General features: G+C 43.5%; 1 protein-coding gene across 3 annotated transcripts in view, besides 2 other annotated features; it reads left to right on the top strand.

Moving 5' to 3' along the window:
* Window positions 1–20591, top strand: part of SHISA6 (shisa family member 6) — a 322851-nt gene that overhangs the window by 261891 nt on the left and 40369 nt on the right. The gene's annotated exons all lie outside the window — the stretch shown is intronic.
* Window positions 143–644: an enhancer, noted in NCBI's record as "NANOG hESC enhancer chr17:11406563-11407064 (GRCh37/hg19 assembly coordinates)". NCBI's record gives its function as "activates a minimal SCP1, AML or CMV promoter by ChIP-STARR-seq in primed H9 embryonic stem cells {active_cell/tissue: H9 hESC(primed)}" and the evidence as "EXISTENCE:reporter gene assay evidence [ECO:0000049][PMID:30033119]".
* Window positions 3616–3816: a silencer, noted in NCBI's record as "peak2723 fragment used in MPRA reporter construct". NCBI's record gives its function as "represses an SCP1 promoter by STARR-seq MPRAs in K562 erythroleukemia cells {active_cell/tissue: K562}" and the evidence as "EXISTENCE:reporter gene assay evidence [ECO:0000049][PMID:32103011]".

A 20591-nucleotide genomic window follows, 5' to 3' on the forward strand; every position in this document is an offset into this window, starting at 1 on the left:
TAGAGGTCATCTAGAGGTCATCTAGTCCTCATATAACAGATGAAGAAACTGAGGCCCAGAGAGGTTAAGTGACTTGACTGAGATCGCTGAGCTAGCTGATTGCAGAGCCAGGAATAGAACCCATGGCTGACAGCACAGAGGCTTTGAAGGCAGTTCTTACCATGCAGAGGTGACGTCCTTTGCCTATTATCTGCCTGCGAAAACTTAGCCACCAAATATAACTTAAACGAAGCAAAAACAGGCTCCCCTTCGGTCATTTGCAATCTCTGGATATTTCCAGCAAGGCTGGAGAGTGGAGGTGGGGGTGGGGCTGAGGGTCTGGACAGAGCCCCGCCCAGCCACAGAGAAGCACTTTTGATTGTCTTGATGTCACTAAGATTCTTGAAAAATGCTGTCCCATTGTCCATACTGACTCCTGCTGGTTGTTCCCACTTCTCAGCCTGACAGTCGGTTTCCTCCCCTCTTTATCTTTGTGGTCATTGCTGGCTTCTTCCTGCCCTCAGAGACCAGCCTCAGAGACCGTTCTGAAAAGCTCTTGGAGGTTCCCTAGACCTTTTGCCCCTTGGAGATGTAATAAGGCTTTGTATATTGTTGTCGTCAAATGTAACACAAATGGCTGGATTTTCATGGATGATGTTTATCAATTGACATCTGCTGTCTGTATCCTATGCTGTTTCATATAGGAATGTATACCAGATGTAGCCGGCGCTACTGTGGCTGTTGTCTGTATTGTATGTGTATTTGTATGCTCTGTCAGTCTCTCTGTACTCCTTCTCTATGTACAAGTGTGTTAATGTGTATGCTCTCTGCAGCCTTCTGCTGTCTGTCTCTGTGTGTATTTAACCTTGTACCAATGTTCACAATGTAATAAAAGCAGAACTAAAATAACACAATGCCTTCTGGCGATTTTTAAACCTAGGGGAGATGCTCACTTATCTGGGATGGATGCATGAGTTATTACCAAAAAGCAGTGGGTTGTATATAAAATGACTTCTTGATGACCTTGGAAGGGTCCATGAGTCCTTTGGCCCTCTGCTGAGGGTAGGCAGGTAAGAAAGTGCTTGTATATGAGGAGGAAGAGGGAAGGCTGGCTTCATGGGCTTTGCAGGTGAATCACTGCAATCCAGAGTGTCCTGTGTGAAATCTCAAAGTGCAGAGCAGAAATCAAACAGCTCTTAGTGGACTGTTTGTTAGTATCCGTGAAAGCTCCATGGCCCCAATCTTTGCTAAACTTTTAAAGCACTCTGCAAAATTTCACCTTGAGAAATGCTCTTTCATCATGAGGAGGAGGTGAAGCATCCCTCCCATGCTGCCCTCTCTGTCCTGATCGTAGGAGCCCAGGGAACTGAACTCATTTAGAAGAGACTTGTCTCAAGGTTTTGACATGATCCTATTGTTAAGAAGTGAAACCAGCATTCCTAGCCTTGGCCAGAGAATAGAAGGCATAGAGTAGGAAAGTATCTATCAAATCACATGCATCGGCCCAGGCAGAAAAGAAGTGGGGGGTATTGCAAGAAAAAGGAATGGAAAGTTTATTTACAACTTAATCCAAGGACCTTGTAGCTTACAGTGAGCTGGAACATCAGGGTCAACTCAGCAGGGATGCCACGAATAACACACTGATGGGAGAAGGGGAAGGACACACACTCCCTCAGATTCCTCATGGGAAGGGGACTTATTCTAAGGAGCTGGAGATGTTAGGACTGAAAAGGAGCTTCAGGTCTCAGGTATGTAATACCATTAGCCCTTACCATGGGCCAGAAAACCCTGATAAAAGAGGTAAGCACAGCACCTGTGTCCCAAGAGGCAACTGGGGTTTCATGAAGATGTTCAGTCACTATGTGTCTGACACTGCTGTGGAGCTGTTCTTGTCCTCACTGGCCAGTTCCCATCTGGAATTCCTGAGACTGAACTTCCACATCTCTTCTTTAACTGGGACTTGAATGTTTTAGCAAAGCCTCATTATTCAGAGGCTGGAACTACCTGGCCAGGACCAGATATTGTCCAGATACTGTCTTTTTATTTTGTTGGGAGAAAAGTTCCAGTACTTTTAGAAAGTCCAGCGATCGCTGTCTCTCTCCTTTCTTTTCCAAAAAGGAGTTTATAATTATTACCTCTCCTCTAAGTAGGAGGTGGAAGTATGGCTTATCTCCCAGGATTCTGGGTTCACACACTATAGTCATTTGGATAAGTTCTTCCCAGCAGCATCCTTCTTGGACTTTCTTGGGTTCATGGATGGGTTCCAGAAATGGGAATTTTCCTGTCTGTTAACCTTGTAGGGATAGACATGGAGTGGGATGTAGCTGTGTGGACTGCAGAATCATGCTTTAGTGCAGGAAAATCCCACAGTGCCTCTCTGTTCTTTCTTAAGAGCCTACCTACTCTTAAGTCTGGCTACTGTAAACATAGTCTAGAATACACTGAAAACACTGTTCTGGGAACCCGTCCTTTCCTTCATGAAGACCCTGATCAGTGACTTCCAGGCTCAAGGGGCTTCCCAGAGCTTTGGCATGGATTGCAGAGCAGTGGAATGAACAAAGACTGAACCAGGAGTCAGATAAGGTAACTGGGTTCATTCATGGCTATCTCACTTTTATAAAATTAAGTCCCAGATGCATCCTAAAAATATTTTCAACTAGAAACGGTTATTCATTTAAACAAAACTGAGTACCTTCTTTGTGAACCTATGTGCTTTGTGCTATGGGAAGCCAGAGAATCAACAACAATAGGATAAAACCCTGCCATTCAAAGGTAATGCAAGAGGAAATGGAGAAGAAAGGCATATACTGTATACCACAAGGCAGTCCACGATGCGTATTGGAATAGCAGTAGAATGAGGAAAGAAGAGGGTGGGGGAGTATTCATGGACCTTGAGGGATGATGGAATTAGGAAGAGAGTTTGGTTCTTAATTTGTAGTTAAGATACAGCAACTGACCACTCCTAATGCAGATTTCCACTGAAATAGGAGATAGGGAACAATGCATATCCACGGGATTATGTTCTCAAGTGAAACGTTGATATTCATGAAGCTGATGAAAATTCATTCTCTGAGTGACAGACACTTGAGGAGATGGTCAGAGCATTCTCTTCCCTCACCCCAACATATCTGCACCTTTCTTCCTTTTATTTTCTGGCCTCCCTGCATCTCTTCTTCTTTTGCCTCTTTCTGTCTCTCTTTACTTCCTCTTTTTCTCTCTCCCTTCCTCTTTCCTTAATTACTGTCTGCAATTACTTTGGGGAGATGACATAGAAGAGCAAAAGAGTTTTCAATCCAGGTTGAATGACCCTGGGTATCACACACAAGTAATTTAACATCAGACAAATCCTTTGTCATGGTCTTTTTTCTCCACTGGAAAATAGAAATATTTTCCTTGTTTGCCCTAACCCCACAAAACCCATCAGTTATAATCAATCATATGAGAACTGACAGAGGATTGAGCTCCAGGAAGTTAAACTGTGTGTTGACCCACGCTATTATGATGAGGTCTAGCAGTTGCACTCAACTAGTCCCCTGGGACCATTTTTAGCCCAGAGGAGTACAAAGTTGGGGTGGAACATTTATCTGGGAGCTTCTGGACTGGTTACTACCTGAAAAAGCAGTGATTCCATGCCACATAAAGCATGTAACTGCTGTGAGCTTTTTATAAATGAGCTTAAAACGTGACTCAGACCCTTCCTTTTATGCCCACTCACACTTCAAGTTTTACAAAACAAAGTTCAGGACCTAGGACAGCACCGTCGCCCCAACTGACTCCCAGGCTATTATGTAGGGAGATTGACAGGAAGGAACACCAGTGTGAATCAGGCTGGGCATGAGTAGAGAGGAGAAACAGTGTAATAGTCAAGGCTGTCTGCTAGTGAAGAGATGATCTTAGAGTCTAGGCACGTTGAGGCCATGTAGTTCAACAGTCCAGTGTGGAGGTTTAAGTCTTCACCCTGCCACCCACTAACTGCATCTTCAGAAAGTTACTCGGCCTGTCCTACCCTCAGTTTCCTAATCTACAAAATGAGGAAGACAATGACATCCACCACATTAGTATCTCATAAAGAGCCAATAAACTAATGTGTATAAAATGCCTTGTAGTATAAATTGCTCAATTAATATTGGTTTTTAAATTTTCAGTATTATTGAAGGAAGGTGAATTGGACAGGCAGGCTGGGGAACAGAATGTCTATCTTTTCCTTACAAGGAGCACATAAGACCTGCCACCTACGTCAAGCACAGGCTTTCTTGGCCCCGATGATGTATGGAGCAGAGCACCTCCCCACCCTCCGCCCTACCTGCCTTCTGCTCAGAGCTTTCCTCTCCACCCAGCCTCTGAGCATCCCTTCTCATCCTTCATGAACCACCCAGGCAGATCTCAGTCTGCATTGCCTTGGGCAATAAGAGATGTCTTATGTTTCCCACCCGCTGAGGAAAGTAACCCATTCTCTTACTTTGCCACCCTGCATTAAACAGATGTATTCCCCCCTTTCCTCTTTCCCTGGATCTCTGAGAAATGATGCTTTCCTACAGTCCAGAAGAGGTCTTCCCACCTCTCCAACATTATTACTTGAGAAGAGCATTTGGAGGAAGTGAGTGTAGTGCAAATCTGCCTGCTGTTCACTGACACCCTGACTTCAACATCATTGTTTTAATGTGTCTCTTGCCACTAACTTGAAAGTATCTCTCTCCTTTAAAACAATAAGATTATTTCATTTCTAATCTTTAGCACTCCCTCCGATTGCATAACATCCTCATCCTTTGTGTATTTCTCATTGAAACATCTGTTCAAATTCCATTTAGTGTGAGACTGGCGAGCTTAAGACATATGTCCCCTCCCACACACAGGAGACATGAGGTCAAAGGGAGTGAGCTAGCCCAAGGACTCCAGTGCTAACCACTAGCCAGTTGCCTACATTTCCACGATGAGGAAACTACTTTCAGACACACCAAGGACCATCTCTAAGCCTTCTGCTAAAGCAGCTTTATTCTTCTCTACTCCAAGGTTTTGGAGGCAGCAAGCTTGATGCAGTGAGAAAACCCTGGACTGGAAGTCAAGGTCTGATTCAAACTCTTGCTTTGAAATCTACTAGCTGTGTGACTGTCTTAGTCATTCGTGCTGCTGTAACAAAATACCACAGTCTGGGTAACTGACACAGAACACAGATTTATTTCTCACTGTTCTGGAGTTTGGAAGTCCAAGATCAAAGCACCAGCATCTGGTGTCTGGTGAGGGCTACACCTCACATGGCAGAAGACAGAAGGGTAAAAAGGGACAACTCCAATGTCAAGCCCCTTTATAAAGGCACCTAGCCCCATTCACCAAAGAGGAGCCCTCATAGCCTAATCACCTCTTAAAGGACCTACCACTTCATACCATCATATCCTGAGGACCTCTAAAGCTCAGGAACCAGTGGCCAAATCCTCAAATTCACTCATGGTTGAATCAGCCCCTCCCCTCCTCTCCCCTCCCCTCCCCTCCCCTTCCTTTCCCACCTCTCCCCTGCCAGTGCTCCCAGGTCATTTCTCCTTGGGGGTGCCCACAGGTGGGTGCTTCATGCAATATGGCAGACAGAGGTGAGAAGGCTTTCTCCTTCTCTGCCTTCTTCCTTGGCTATACAATTTTGTGGCTTCCTTTTATTCATCTAGCAAATATTTATGAAGTTAGTGACTCTGTACCATGCACTCCTTTAGGTATTAGGGCTATAATCAGTGAACAAGACAAGTATGGTCCCTCTGTCCAAGAAGATATCTACCAGTGGCAACCAATGAGCAAACACACAAATAAGACAGATGCAAGTTGTGATGGGGGCCACAAAGCAATAGGATACAAAAGAGGAACATGGCACACACTTGAGACAGGGGGTCAGAGAAACCCTCCTGAGGAAGAAAAACCTGTGACAAGAGCTTGTATCTGAGTGACATAATAGCACCAGCTGATTATAAAATCCTCCCTGGAAGGTTTCACTGCATAAAGCATGGATGGGCTCTCAGAATCATCAGGGAGAAGGAATTCAGACTTCATGCCTGCACAGCCTTAGTCTCTTGGATAGTCCAGGTGAAAGAAGTGTCGGAAGGCCCAACTCTCCAGCTCATGGTTTAGGCCAACCCTGGGCATGGGCAGAAGTTGCTTCTTAGCTACCATTGGAGCCCCCTCCTTAGATTGTATTCGCAAGTCCATGAACAATCTTGGGGAACACAGTCTGAGGAGATCCACTCAAAAAGTACCTATGCATAGTCAACGACAGCATCACACATGGTCCTCTATGCACGCAGGGCTTTACCATTTATGAAGCACTTTCAACATCTATTATTTCATTTGAGGCTCAGCACAACTGTATGATGCAGGAAGGAAACTGAGCTTCAGAGAGCTGGAGGAAATGCCTGAGGTCACCTCCCTCCTTGGTGGTGTAACCAGCACGAACACTTTCCATGAACTGTGGAGAGCTGTTTACTGGATACTCACAGATATACTTTGGCAGCTGCAGCCTTGACCTCCGAACCACCTTGGCCTCCCAGTCTCTCCAAAACTCCTGCCCTAACTGAAGGTCTTTTGAGTTGCCTATAAGACAGACTAGAGCAAATGAATTAACCTCTGCAACAGCAAGAAACACAAGGCTAGACTTTCCTCGGAGGAAATGGAGTGAGTTGGGCGGCAGTGTCCCACTCTGGGATAGAAGAGAGAAAGCAAGCTAAGGTGGCAGAGGGCAGGATGAAAAGAGATGCTCATCCTCTTAATACTCTATTGTCTAGTGTGCTTTGTGCACCCTGCCCTGCAAGGAGGAACATCTATGGTCTTATTGACCACTTGCATCTTGGGAAAGAGAGGCTTTGGAAACACAGGTCCATAAAGAAAGAAGCAGACTCAAGGTCTGAGATGGGAGAGGTAAGAAGGCAAACCTGCAAGGAGCTAAAGGCACCTAAGGGAAAACCGAGGAAGAAGAAAGCACACACTTTCCTGCCTGCAGCTTTGCACAGAGCTGGCTTCTTGAGAGACAATACCAGTAACTTGGTATTGTCCCTTCCTCTTGGTGGTCCCAGGCTGGAGAGTCCTTTCCCTCAGCTATATTACTCACTGACCCCTTCCCGAAGCTCACTCCTCTCATTTTCATGATGTCACAGATTATATGTCACTTTCTTCAGGGAGCCTCCTCTGATGCCTAACCACTCGAAAAGGTCTGTGTTCCCACAGTGCTCCACTGCAGAGCCACCATGTCCTTACCTGTCTGCCAAGTAAACTGAGTGCCTGAGTGGTCCTGGGTCCTGGGTAGGGGGAGAAGAACATTAGCCTGTATCGTTGCTTCAGTTAAAGCCTTTCCAAGTTGGACAAGGATTTCCACAGTTGCAAAATGCAGGAACAGCCACCCAATGGACCTTGCCAAGTGATGGGGTTGTCCCACATTAAAGAAAATATCCACACCCCAGGACTGTCTAGGTAGTGCTTAAGCCACAAACCCTGGGATCTGTTTGAAAGGTGAGTAAAATCCTTGTTCTAGCTGGTTCCTATGCAAAGGTTCACAATATGCCCTAATGTGGCAGTCTTTTTTCCTGTCTGTGGCATGGTAGAAACAGCACAGACATTTGAGAGAATGAATTTCAAGCCAAGTTTCACCACTTACCAGCTGTCTTGGATTTGGGTAAATAACATCAGTCTCTAAATCAAATGCAAGCAGTACTATGTAATGAGCAGTATGTTACAATTAACAGAGCTCAGTGCCTGGTCCATAAAAATGTCTCACTAAATGGTAGGCATTAGTGTTCTTGTTAGTGCAGAAGAGTCAGCATCGTTTGTAGCTAAGGATCCAGACTCTAAAACCCTGAGGTCAGCCTGGGTTCAGACCCCAGTTCTGCCATCTTCTATTAGATGAAGTTATTTTCCTGCACTGTGGCTCAGTGTTCTCTTCTGTTAAATGGAGCTAGGAAGAGCACCCACCTCATAAATTTGTGACTATGAAATGAGATGACATATGAACAGGGCTTAGAAACATGCCTGGTTCGCATGGAATGCTATGCAGCCATAAAAAAGAATGAATTCATGTCCTTTACAGGGACATGGATGAAGCTGGAAGCCATCATTCTCAGCAAACTAACACAGGAACAGAAAACCAAACACCCCATGTTCTCACTCATAAGTGGGAGTTGAACGATGAGAACACATGGACACAGGGAGGGCAGCATCACACACTGGGGCCTGTCAAGGGGTGAGGGGGCAAGGGGAGGGAGAGCATTAGGACAAATACCTAACGCATGAGGGACTTAAAACCTAGATGATGGGTTAAAGGTGCAGCAAACCACCATGGCACATGTATACCTGTGTAACAAGCCTGCACATTCTCCACATGTATCCCAGAACTTAAAGTAAATTTTTAAAAAATAAATAAACTGAATGAATAAATAACTTTAAGCTTCCCCCCACAAAAAAACAGTAGAAAAAAATCAAAATGTTCATCAATTGATGAATAGAGAAAATGTGGTATAGCCCCCACCCCCCAAAAAAATGCCTGGTTCAGTTAGTACTATCATGCTTGTTATTATCAATCTTTAATGTTATCTACATTTTCAAAGCTATAGAAAATGAAGTTGTAAAAAAGCAAAATTATCATAGCACTTTCATCTTCTGCATCACTCCCTTATTGATTGCAAATCAGTAAACCCACTCCACCACGTTCCTTCTGTGTGCAAAGCACTATGCAGCTGGTGAAGGAGATAAACAAGGTTCCTGCATTAGAGAAGACAGTAATCTGGAGTCTGGGTCAGACACATCTGACACATGGCTGCTAACAGCCAGCCCAGCCCTGGATGTGTACACAAGCCAGAAGCATGCAGGACGGAGACCTTGGGCGTGTGGTACAAAGGGCCTTGGGCCAGGATTCAAGAGACTCGGATTCTAGTGCCACTTTTTCAGCACACTGAGCAAACTACCTCACCACTGTGACCCTTAGTTTCTCCTTTGGTAAATGAATTGGATTCCCAAGGTTCCTGTCTTCCAATTTGAACATTCAAGAGATTTCTTAAGTACAATTTCATGTCGGCACCCTTTGATTTTGAAGAAAGTTCCATTCAAAAATCACCTCCTTGAATGAGGTTTTGATGACCTATGTAATTTTTTAAACAGCATTATCTACACATAAAGCATCTTTATATCTGGAGGAATGTGCCTGGGCAGGTGAATCTGTTTGCCTTTCCTTTCAGGAAAATGAAAACAGTCTCACCTCCTGTGGTTCCTTTTTGCCTTAGCTCCCCGTACAGGACACTTATAGACAAGTACACCACCTAGTTACTGTTAATTAATCTGTTCAACTCACACACCCAGAAACAGCTCATTCTTCCACTCTCTGTGGTGAATCCTGTTCTTTGTTAACTTGCATATATCACTTTGTAACTGTATGTTTACACCTCTTGAGTCAAAACAAGTCAACTTCTTTTTTTTGAAATTGTATTTCAAATTGAATTTTTTTTAAACTGAAAAAAGTTGTCACTTTAATTTTTTAATTATAAGTAACTTTATATTATTGCAACAAAACAAGTAGGTTGTAGACAAATTAGAAAATGTAAATTAGCCAAAAAAGCAAGTAAAAATGTCAATAATCCTATCACTCAAAAATAACCATTTATTATATATCCTTCTAGATTATGTACATCCAAACAATTAATATAATTAAGAGAGTGTTATAGTATAATATACTGTTTCCAGCTTCCTTTTTTCACTTAACTTGCATAAATTTGTTAATGATCTACATTATGAGTTGTAAAGGCTGAGGGATCGTCTATTGCTTGGCATTCTATATTTTATTCAACTCATCTACTATTGTTGAACACAGATTATTTTCAATTTTTTGGTATTATCCACAATTTTGCAGTGAATTTTCTCAATTATTTCCTTAGGATCTATTGCCTTTTAATGAAACGGCTGGGTGAAATGGTCTATGTATTTTTAAGATTTTGAATACATATTACTTAATTTATTTTCAGAAATTTTATAGTGATTGTATGAGTACCTATTTTTCTTTCCGTTTCCCAAGAAGCATGTGCTATTTTCTTTATTTATGATATCTACATATATAAAGTAGCACATGTAAGTTTATATATGTTTATTACACACATATATATGTGTGTATATATGTATGTGTTATATATATATATAGTATATATACATACGTATATATGCACATAAGATACATACATATATATATACACATACTTTTCCAGTCTGAGAGGGGTGAAGTGGTATCTCATTGTTTTAACAGGCATTTCTTTGATCACTGAGGCTGGATTATTTTCATATGTTCATTGGCCAAGTATATTTCATTCATTCAATAAATATTTATCACCTAAGTGTCAACTCTTCGAATATTTCTTCTATGAATTTCTGTGGAGAAAGATGTAACTTTTAAATGAGCAGTTGCTTTTTAAGTCTCTTCATTTTCAACCTATGTCACATCTCTGGGTAACAGATTCTGGAAGCTGACTTGCATAAATCCTTTCCCATCTTCCACGGAATGATATGCTTGAGAACTTGTTATTGACTCTTCCTAGCCTGTTTTTCTCCTGCCTTTTCACTAAATAAGTATAGAAACTTGCAGACAAGATCCCAGCTAGGATGCCAGCTAGCTGTGCAATCTATCTGAACTCATTCCCTTCACAAGTCGAGCATTGGTCTTCCATGTCCAGAAACTCAATCTTTTAGTGCCCTGGAGCTGATCCTGAGTGGCTAACTCACCGTGAACAAACTCACAGGAGACCGAGTATATAAACCAGAGAGCCAACTTATTTATTTGAGATGAGAATTATAACTGTCAGGCAGACCAGACAATTGCGGGACTCTCCAGTACAATTTATCTCAGGCAAGCTACAGAAGCAGCCCAACATCTCAAAAGGGTGCTTCATGAGTGGGAGATGCAGGATGAGGGGAGTAGGTGATAGGTTTGAAACTTTGCTAGCAGCATGCTCTGACAGTCTGGTGCTCCATTTCCCATGCTCTTCCCTAGACAGTGCCTAGGGAGAGGCAGTTCTGACTCTGCTTTGTGGCCGACTGGCACCCTCTCCTCTTCGTGGACGGCCCTATTGTACCTTAGCTGTGATCACAGTTCCAGGCAGAACACCATCTAGCTTGACTGTCCTGCCAGTCCTGTCTTTTAATGGTGATTTGACTCTTGCCTAACATGCTGACTTAATGTTTAAATTTTTGTTTTGTTTTGTCTTCCCATGTTCAATGCATGTATGCTGAGGACTTCCTATGTTTCAAGTATTGTGCTGGTATTGGGCATAAGGCTTGGGCTTCTGTTGGTGCCCGAGATAGCATGTTTGTAAGGCATGATGGTATTGGTCATCAAGTTTTTTCAGGGGAAGCAATTCTAAGTCAATCCTTCTTCATAGAATTGCCATTTTAGCCGCTCTGAAATGATGGGGAAGGTAACTGCAGCAGACCTCTCTGTGGCCTGCATTGCATCCATCTCTGCTTTCAGCCTCATCTGCAGTGGATGGTTCCATATGACCTCAGCCTTCCTCACATGGGCAGCATCCCCCTGTGAAGCACATCTTTGTGCTTTGTGCTCAAGGGCAATGTCTTATGTGGCTGAAGCCCAGAAAGGCGAGAGAGTTAATGCACCCAGAGGAACTCTTGGCCCTTGTGGGATGGGAGCCAACACAGAGGTGCTCTAGGCTCCCTTCCTTCGGGTGACCAATGCCAGGAGGCACCTGTTCATTTCTCAGGAGGTTCTTGCACAGGGCACATGTCCTATTGTATAGCAGCAGCCTCAACTAAAAATCCTTGTAGTGGCTTCTTTTCCTCTCTTATCTCCATTCCAGGGGTCATGCCCCAAATAAATAATACACACCCATATCCTTGTCTCTAACTGTGCCTTTGAGGGGGTGGCATGGAGGCCAGGAACAGTGGTCTTCCCAGGGGTACAAGGGGCTGCAAAGGCAGCTCATGAAGCCCTGTGGACTTCCTTTAGAGACCACAGTGGGTGATGATGCCACTGTCAGGGAGCATGTGGTCTCTTCAGGAGGACCCAGGATTCCCCTAAATCCTTCTATCAGTGTGTCATTGGGAAGGAGGGTGACAATACCAGAAGAACCCTTAGAAAATGCTCCATATAGCTGGGATTGCACAACTGCACTACAGTCTGGGTGACAGGGCAAGACTCTTTCTCAAAAAAAAAAAAAAAAGAAAAAAGAAAATAGAGAAAGAAAAGAAAAGAAGAAAGAGGAAGGAAGAAAGAAAAAGGAAGGAAGGAAGGAAGGAAGGAAGGAAGGAAGGAAGGAAGGAAGGAAGGGAGAGAAAATGCTCCAAATAACCACTAAGACTTTACTTATTGGATCCCCTGAATAGAGGAATTTCCTGTCTCGGGTCGGGTTTCTTAGAAGTTGAGCCTGAGACAAGATTCTTGGGCAACTGTGTTATTGAGGGAGTTTTCTCAGGAGATGGGGAGAAAAGAAAGAAGGGTGGGGCAGGGTAGAAAGCTAAGCAAGGTGTGGTCTCAGCTGGTGACTGGCTCCTGCGTGATCCTACGAAGAGCTCTGGGGCACAGAGTGTGTAGCAATGTTGATCAGACTTTGAGGCAGAATGTACCCTTTGTGCCTCCATGTGGGTCAGACGCTGACCAAAGCCTGCCTCCCTCCTCACAACACTGTCCTAGCAAGGTGGCTCAGATTCTGAGCAGGGAACTCTTCCCAGGAGCGCAAGGGTAGATGCATCAACTCAACCAAGGAGACCTGGGCAGGGCACAAGCACCTATGTTTCCCTGTGTGAGGAGCTCCTAAGGAGCAAAAGAGACCACTTTTCCTTCAAGTTGTCACAATGCAGACTTCTGCTCTGGCTGTGAGCTTTGAAGCTTCCCTCGCCCACAGTTCTCTGCTTAATCTTTACAAGCATCTCTCTCTCCATCCAAAACAAAATTCCAACTGAGAGCTCAGGGGAGTGCCAGGGATTCTCTCCACATAAAGATATGTGGCAGATTTTTTAATGTTGTGACATCATCCTAGTCATTAGCATGAAAATTCTCATAAATCTCCATCATTCCCTCCAGGGTTGCAAGCTGATAATTAGGAATCTTTTTTATAAGCTGAACACCAGAGCATTTCCTCAAGCATTCCATTGCCTCAGAAGAGAAACATCTAGTGCTACATAAGGATTGGTGACAGGAAGCTCAGGAGGTATCCACCCTGCCTAACCGTTGGGGGCAGATGCCAAGGCAACTCCTTGCAGCAATACCTCAGAGTCTAATTCCACAGTCATCAGATCTTCCATTGAAAACACTAGGTCCAATTCTAGTCCTGCTGCTCACCAGAGTAGGGGCCCTTGACAACACACCTAACTTCCTTCAACCTTGGTGAGCTCATTCACAGGGGCAGAATAAAGATTAGATTCCAAATGAACATAACAGCACCTTATGAAAAGACACTAAATCACTGATGTGCTGGTAGACAAGCTGAAGGAGGGGGATCTCAGGGAGGAGGACCCCAATATATAGCATGTTCCAATCCCCATGGTGTAAATATTCCCACTGTGGCAGACTTCAAACTACCTATGGTTTAACACCAGCTCAAGAAATCCCTGAATGTTTGAAACTCTGCTCAATGGAGCCAGTAGAAGGCAGCTACAGCACACTACCAGTAAATCCATCAAAGTGGTAGTCACTGGTACCTTCTCAGATAGATAAATGGTTAGAAAAGGGGACAACTAGGACTGTTCCTGGCCATGGATAGTCTCTGCAGTGACTTCTGAAAGAGTCTTGGTATAATACTCATTCCAAATCTTCACACACATGGATTAAAAAATCCCCAAAGCTACACCACTTGCTGCAGCCAAGCCCAACCCAAATTCAGCACCTTCTGGTACAAGTATTGTGCGCAGACATCATGCTGAGAATTCAAGTCTTTGAGACTGAGGGACCTGGTACCCCTGGTAGAAGTCTAGAAATCAGAAAGTGGATTAGGGAGATAATTCTGGGTTTAATGAGCATATAGATCATAATGGTGTAAGTATCCAGGAGACTGTCAAAACTTTAAACTTCTAAACTGACAGGTCTCAGTCAATTTAGAAGTTTCGTTTTCCAAGGTTAAGGATGCACACCAGGGAGACAGGTCTATGCTTTTCTCTAAAGATGATTTGAGGGTTTCATTCTTTAAAGGAGGAAAGCAGGCTGGAGGGGAAAGAGGTGGGGTATATTCACATTACTGAATCCACTTGTTGCAAGAGAAAAGGAGCAGGTAGGGGAATAGTGAATTATGTATTCATCTTGCACTCAGTAAATTGGCACTTTACATAAGATAAGGTGAACATAGAGTAGCTACCTGTGGAGATATTTAACCTCTTATCTGTAGCTATCTGCTTAGGAACAAAAACAAAGGCAGCTTCTTGTATGAGTCAAATTCAGATTAATTTTTTTCTTTTAGCATAATGAAATTAGGGCCCAAGTCTTTGTTATGGAATCGGGTTCTTGCTCTGTCACCCAGGCTGGAGTGCAGTGGTACAGTCACAGCTCAGTGCAGCCTCAACCTCTCAGGCTCAAGCTATCCTCCTGCCTCAGCCTCCTTAGTAGCTGGACCACAGGCATGTGCCACCATGCCCAGCTAGTTTCTTTTTTTATTGGTAGAGACGGGGGTCTTGCTGTGTTGCCCAGGCTGGTCTTGAACTCCTGGGCTCAAGCAGTCCTCCCACCTCAGCCTCCCAAAGTACTGGGATTTACAGGCTTGAGCCACCACACTTGGCCCCAAGTTTTTATTTTCCTGTCACACCTGCACAGCTTACTGCTCACCACCCCACCCTCAGCATTAATTGGGCCCAACCTCCATCAATGGCCACTCATTTGTAGGGTAGAGCTGTCCTCCTGAGATGCTGTGCCCTCTTGGTTTCTATGAACCTCTGTAGGGTTTTCTGCTTGCCAGAGGGTTTATCAAAGTATTTCTTCCAACCCCATCAAATATCCTCCACCACCAATAGAACTATGGTTCTTTGTGTCTTAGGAAGGGCAGGGCTGGACACACACATTTTAGGCCACACATGCAGAGGTGGCGTGGTGCCGTGGTCGAGAGCACAGGTCTAGATTTCCTGGTCTCAGGTCCCACTGCCATTTTGCATTAACTGTAAGTGTTGGCAGCTGCCTGGTTTTATTTTTGTGCCTTATTTTCTTCTTTGTAAAATTAACATGTTGACTATGGTTCAGACTGAAGGAATCGATAAGTAAGATGCTTAGAACTATGCTGGGCACATAGTGACATTAGCTTTTACTATAATTGATAGAGGTCAGTGATAAGAAACAGATGGGCTCTCAAATGATAGTTTTTTTGCTTTGTTTTGTTTAAAAGGCTGGGGACAGAGATTTGCTGAACTTTAACATGTTGGGCCAGGAAACACACACACACACACAAACACATACACACATACACACATACACACACAAATGTCCACACCCTGTGATCTGTACTGGCTTATTTCACTTGAAATTTATGATTCCAAATCTCAGATTGGGGTTTGACACTCCCAGGTATCTTATTGTTTTTCTCTAACATGTTTGTTTTTCTGTGGTAAGACAGTCATCCTCAACCCATGTGGCCAGTAGAATCACCTAGAGAGTTTTTAAAACTACAGATGCCCAGACCCCATCCAAGACCAATTGAATCACTATAGGAATGCTGGGGAAAGGAGGCACCCATTGGAATATTTTGAAAGTTCTGCATTCAGGTGATTCTGACGTGCAGCCAAGACAGAGAAACATTCCTTTAAGAGGATTATTTTGTACCTTCTGTTTCCTCTAATCCTCCTACTCTCCCTTCTCCTTTCAACTCCCAGCTGATGAACTTGTCTCATGCTTCACTGAGGAAATTGAAGCTGTCTGAAGGAAACTTCCCTACCCACCCATGGTCAAAACCATTGAAGTATCTCTGTCTGGAGCCATAGCCTCTCCCTTCTCCTCTACAGAGGAAGTGTGTTTCCCCAACTCCCACTTCCTCACGTGTTATTGGAAAGCTTGTCCTCTTCCCCTCTCCCTCCTTCACCAGTCCCTCTTTCTGCTCAGACTTTGCCTCTTCTCCTCCGCTGCCAAAGGTGCTCTAGTTTCTCTTAGCTTGGAGAACAGTAACAAAAGCAAACCCTTTCCCTTGACTACACAAACACTATTCACAATAGCCAGGAGGTAGAAGCGGCCCCAGCATCCGTCAGCAGACAAATGGACAAATAAAGTGTGTCCATCTCTACAATGGGATATCATTCAGCCTGAAAAAGGAAGGACACTGACCCATGATCCAACATGGACAGGCCCTGAGGACATTATGCTGAATGAAATAAGCCAGTCACAAAAGAACAAAAATTCAACAGTTTCACTTATGTGATGTATCTAGAGTAAGCAACTTCGTGGAGAGAGAAAATAAAACAGAGGTTACCAAGTGCTGCAGTGAGGAGGGAGGAATGAAGAGTTGTTGTTTATTGGGGACAGAGTTTCAGCTAGGGAAGGTGAAAAAGTTCTGGAGACGGAGGGTGGTAATAGTAGGACAACTACGAACGTACTTAACGCCACTGACCTGTACATAAAAAATGGTTAATGTGGTAAATTTTATGTTATATATATTTTTTCACGATTAAAAACAATAATAACAGCTGTAAATACCTGCCCCCCACCAAACTCCCATATGTTTCTCAGCCCATAACCAGTCTGGTTTCCACCTCCCCCACGCCAACAAGCCTGCTCCAGCTGAGGTCACCTTGACACACATGTATGCAAATCCAGTAAATACCTTCTTTCTTTCCTTCATTTAACCTAGCTGAAGCATTCAGCTGTCCTCCTGAGATGCTGTGCCCTCTTGGTTTCCATGACATCGTGCTTTCTCATTTTTAACTCCTAACTGCTCTCCTCTGTCATTGGCCCCAAGCTTTAGGTTTTAGGTTGAAGGGCTTCCTCTGTTCTCTCCTAGACCTTTTCTCTCTCCTCTCTGTGTACACACTGTTCTTTTATCTAGGGTAATTCATCTAGTCTCAGTTTTAAATACAGTCTCCATGTGGATGATTCTCAAAATTACATCTCGAGCCTCGACTTTTTCTCTGAACTCCAGAATCATAAATTCTACTGCCTACTTGACATCAACACTTAGATGTTCCACAAGCATCTCACACTTAATGTGTTCAAAATGGAACTTCTGACTTTACATTCCCCACCTGTCTCACCACCACCAACTGTGCGCCCAACAAATTTTTCCCCATCTCAGCAAAGGATGAATTGTTTGAATCTCAGTAGCATCCCTAATTTCCTTACACCCCATATATAATGCATTAGTAAATCCTGACAGTCCTACCTTGAAAATATGTCTTAGATCCATCCACTTTTCTGCACATCCACTCTGTATTTAGTCTAAGTCACCAACTTTCCTTAGACTGTTAGAGAAGCCTCCTTACTGGCCCGGGGTCTTGAATGATTCTTCTTCTTCAATGGTATCTCAAGCCTCTCTCCTTCTTGCTCTAAGCTGTGATCATCCAGCTACACTGATCATTTCAGTGTTGCAACTATGCTTATGCTCAGCTTAGCTCATCTCTTTCCTACGTCAGGGGCCTTTGCACATACAGTATGCACACGTGCACACACACATCCCATGCACACATTTCCCTCTCTCGCTCCTCTAACCCAATGTCCATTTGCATGGCTGGCCCCTTCTCATCCATGAGACCTCTGCATAAATATCACTTCCTCAGAGAAAACTACCTCGATCACCCTAATAGACACCACCTCCTGTTTTTATCTGTTCCTTATGTCTAATTGTCATCTTTTCAGCCTTATCACTATGAGCAATTCTTTCTGTGTATTTAACTTATTATTGCCTATCTCTTCCAATACATTCTTAACACCATGAGTACAAGAACTCTGTCTGTTTGGTTCACCACTGTATTTGTAGAAACCCCTGAGAGAGTTTTCACCTGGGACAATGGACGCGCAATAAATACTTGCTTGACAGAATGGGGAACATTGTCATCATGGAACATGGTGCTTTGGATTTAAAGCTTGGGTTCAAATTAAGATAGACTTTTCTGGTCATGTTCTAGAAATTTATAACTCTGAATGTTCCCTCATTTTTATTTGCTAACAAAAATTTCTTTATTAAGATAACTGATCTTAAACACTATTAACCAGTGGATTATATTGTTCTTTAAAGCAAGGTTTTGAAGACAATAATTAAATATATATTTTGCAATTAAAGCAAGATTTTAGTAAAATGTAGTATGTATTTGGTATCTTTTTCATAAATTCCCAATATCAATTCATCCTTATTCTAAGTTTGGTCAAAATCCTCTTAGGACTTGAGGCTTCAGGTCAATCTGACTTCAAAAATACTTGCAGCTCATCTTAGGGTTGCTGGCTATAAAGTTTTAGAAACTCTTCATTGTGATGGCCACCTATCAAATACTAGTGATGAAGAAACTGAAGGCAGGCGCAGTGGTTCACGCCTGTAATCTCAGCACTTTGGGAAGCCAAGTTGGGAGGACTGCTTGAGATCAGGAGTTCGAGACCAGCCTGGACAACATAGTGAGACCCCAGGGCAACATAGTGAGACCCCATCTCTACAAAAAACAAAAATTAGCCAGGCAGAATGGCACGCACCTGTAGTCCCAGCTATCCAGGAGGCTGAGATGAGAGGATTTCTTGAACCCAGGAGTTCAAAAGTGCAGTGAGCTAGGATCACGCCTCTGCATTCCAGCTTGGGTGACAGAGCAAGACCCTGTCTCTTAAAAACAAGATAAACTAGCTAGACTATATCTCTTATCTCTCAGCTTATCTTTTCTCTCTTTGAAGAAACAGGAGTAGTGAATAGGGAAAATTCTACTTAGAGATATATACAGTTTTTACATTGAGTGTTTTTCTATTTTTAAAATTATTATTTTTATTTATTTATTATTATTATTTTTTGAGACAGAGTCTCGCTCTGTCACCCAGGCTGGAGTGCAGTGGCACGATCTTGGCTCACTGCAACCTCCGCCTCCCAGGTTCATGCCATCCTCCTGCCTCAGCCTCCCGAGTAGCTGGGACTACAGGCACCCACCACCACGCCCGGCTAATTTTTTGTATTTTTAGTAGAGACGGGGTTTCACCGTGTTAGCCACGATGGTCTCAATCTCCTGACCTAGTGATCCACCCGCCTCAGCCTCCCAAAGTGCTGGGATTACAGGCGTGAGTCACCATGCCTGGCCCTATTATTATTATTATTTAGTTACAGGGTCGCTTTGTCGCCCAGACTGGAGTGCAGTTGCATGATCTTGGCTCACTACAGCCTCAACCTCCTGGGCTTCAGTGATCGTTCAGCCTCAGCCTCCTGAGTAGCTGGGACTACAGACACGCAACAGCACGCCTGGGTATTTGGTTTTTTAATTTTGTATAGAGAAGTTGTAGTTTGGGATATCAGGGGGATTTGGACACCAAAGAGTCAGGCTGTTTCTGACTAATTAGGATAGTCTAAGGGTGTGTGTTGGGGATGCCTGCTATGAAAATGGTGTGCTTTGATATTTATTTAAAATGTGCCTATGTTCATCTCCTTTATTCTCCATGTAGCTATTTACTGGAAAGTAAAGTAAATATCAGTTAAAGGTTCTCTATGTTGCCCAGGCTGGCCTTGAAGTCCTGGCCTCAAGCGATCCTCCCGCCTTGGTGTGAGCCACTGTGTTTGTCCAACATTGTTTTAAGAAACCCAAACCCATGACCAGGATCTATCTCAGTAGACAGTGTATTTCATATTATTTGTTCCTTATCACACTGAAGCATTTTCAACAAGAAATATTTTATACTGACTTGCATGCAATAATACTTTACACGTAGGCTTCCAGAAGTTTCTTTGCCTTCCCAAGTTTCCAGACATGCCTTGAGGCTTCCTCTAGAGTCACTATCTCCAGAGCTGCTTTTCCAAAACAACTTGTACCATTGCTTAAGCAGACGTTTTTGAAGATTTTTCTTCTTTTGCCAACGTTTATGCCCGGTTTCTTAGCAGATGTTTAGTCTTGTTTCATCCAGGATACGGATGCTGAGCTCTCTCTGAGCCTCTAAAAAAATCCCATGGTAAGTTTTTAGGAACCACCAACTAAGCCTCTTGGTTAACAAGCAAGGACTATGTAAAGGCACGTTCTAGGGCTGAGCAGAGAAGTTGGAGAGATCTCCTGCTCAAAAGAAATAAAAGGCAGAAAACCCCCCGTTGGCTCCGATCGGATTTGCTGCTGTAGTTTCACTGTAGTCATTTCTAGCAATTTATTCCTCTCCTTGTCTGTGGGAGGATTAGAGTCTGCAAAAGGAATCTGACAAAACACCAAAAAGTGTAGCTGAATGAAAATGCTGAAATATCACTGCAGAGGCAGGCAGATGTCTCTCTGTGAGCCAGGGAGATAGATATGCCTGAGAGAGGAGAAAAGAGCATTTGTACAAAGCTGGAGCCAGAAGTCAAAGTGGGAGCTTGAGATGTGAGGGGGATTTGGCCACTGAAGAGTTGGGCTGATTCTGACTAACAAGGATAGTCTAGGGCTCTGCCTGTGTGGGCGCCTGGCTGTGAAAATGGCATGCTTTGATATTTATTTAAAATGTATCCATGTTTATCTCCCTGATACTTCATACAGCTATTTACTGGGGAGTAAAGAGC

This window comes from Homo sapiens, chromosome 17 (genome assembly GCF_000001405.40).
Source record: "Homo sapiens chromosome 17, GRCh38.p14 Primary Assembly".
Lineage (NCBI taxonomy): Eukaryota > Metazoa > Chordata > Mammalia > Primates > Hominidae > Homo > Homo sapiens.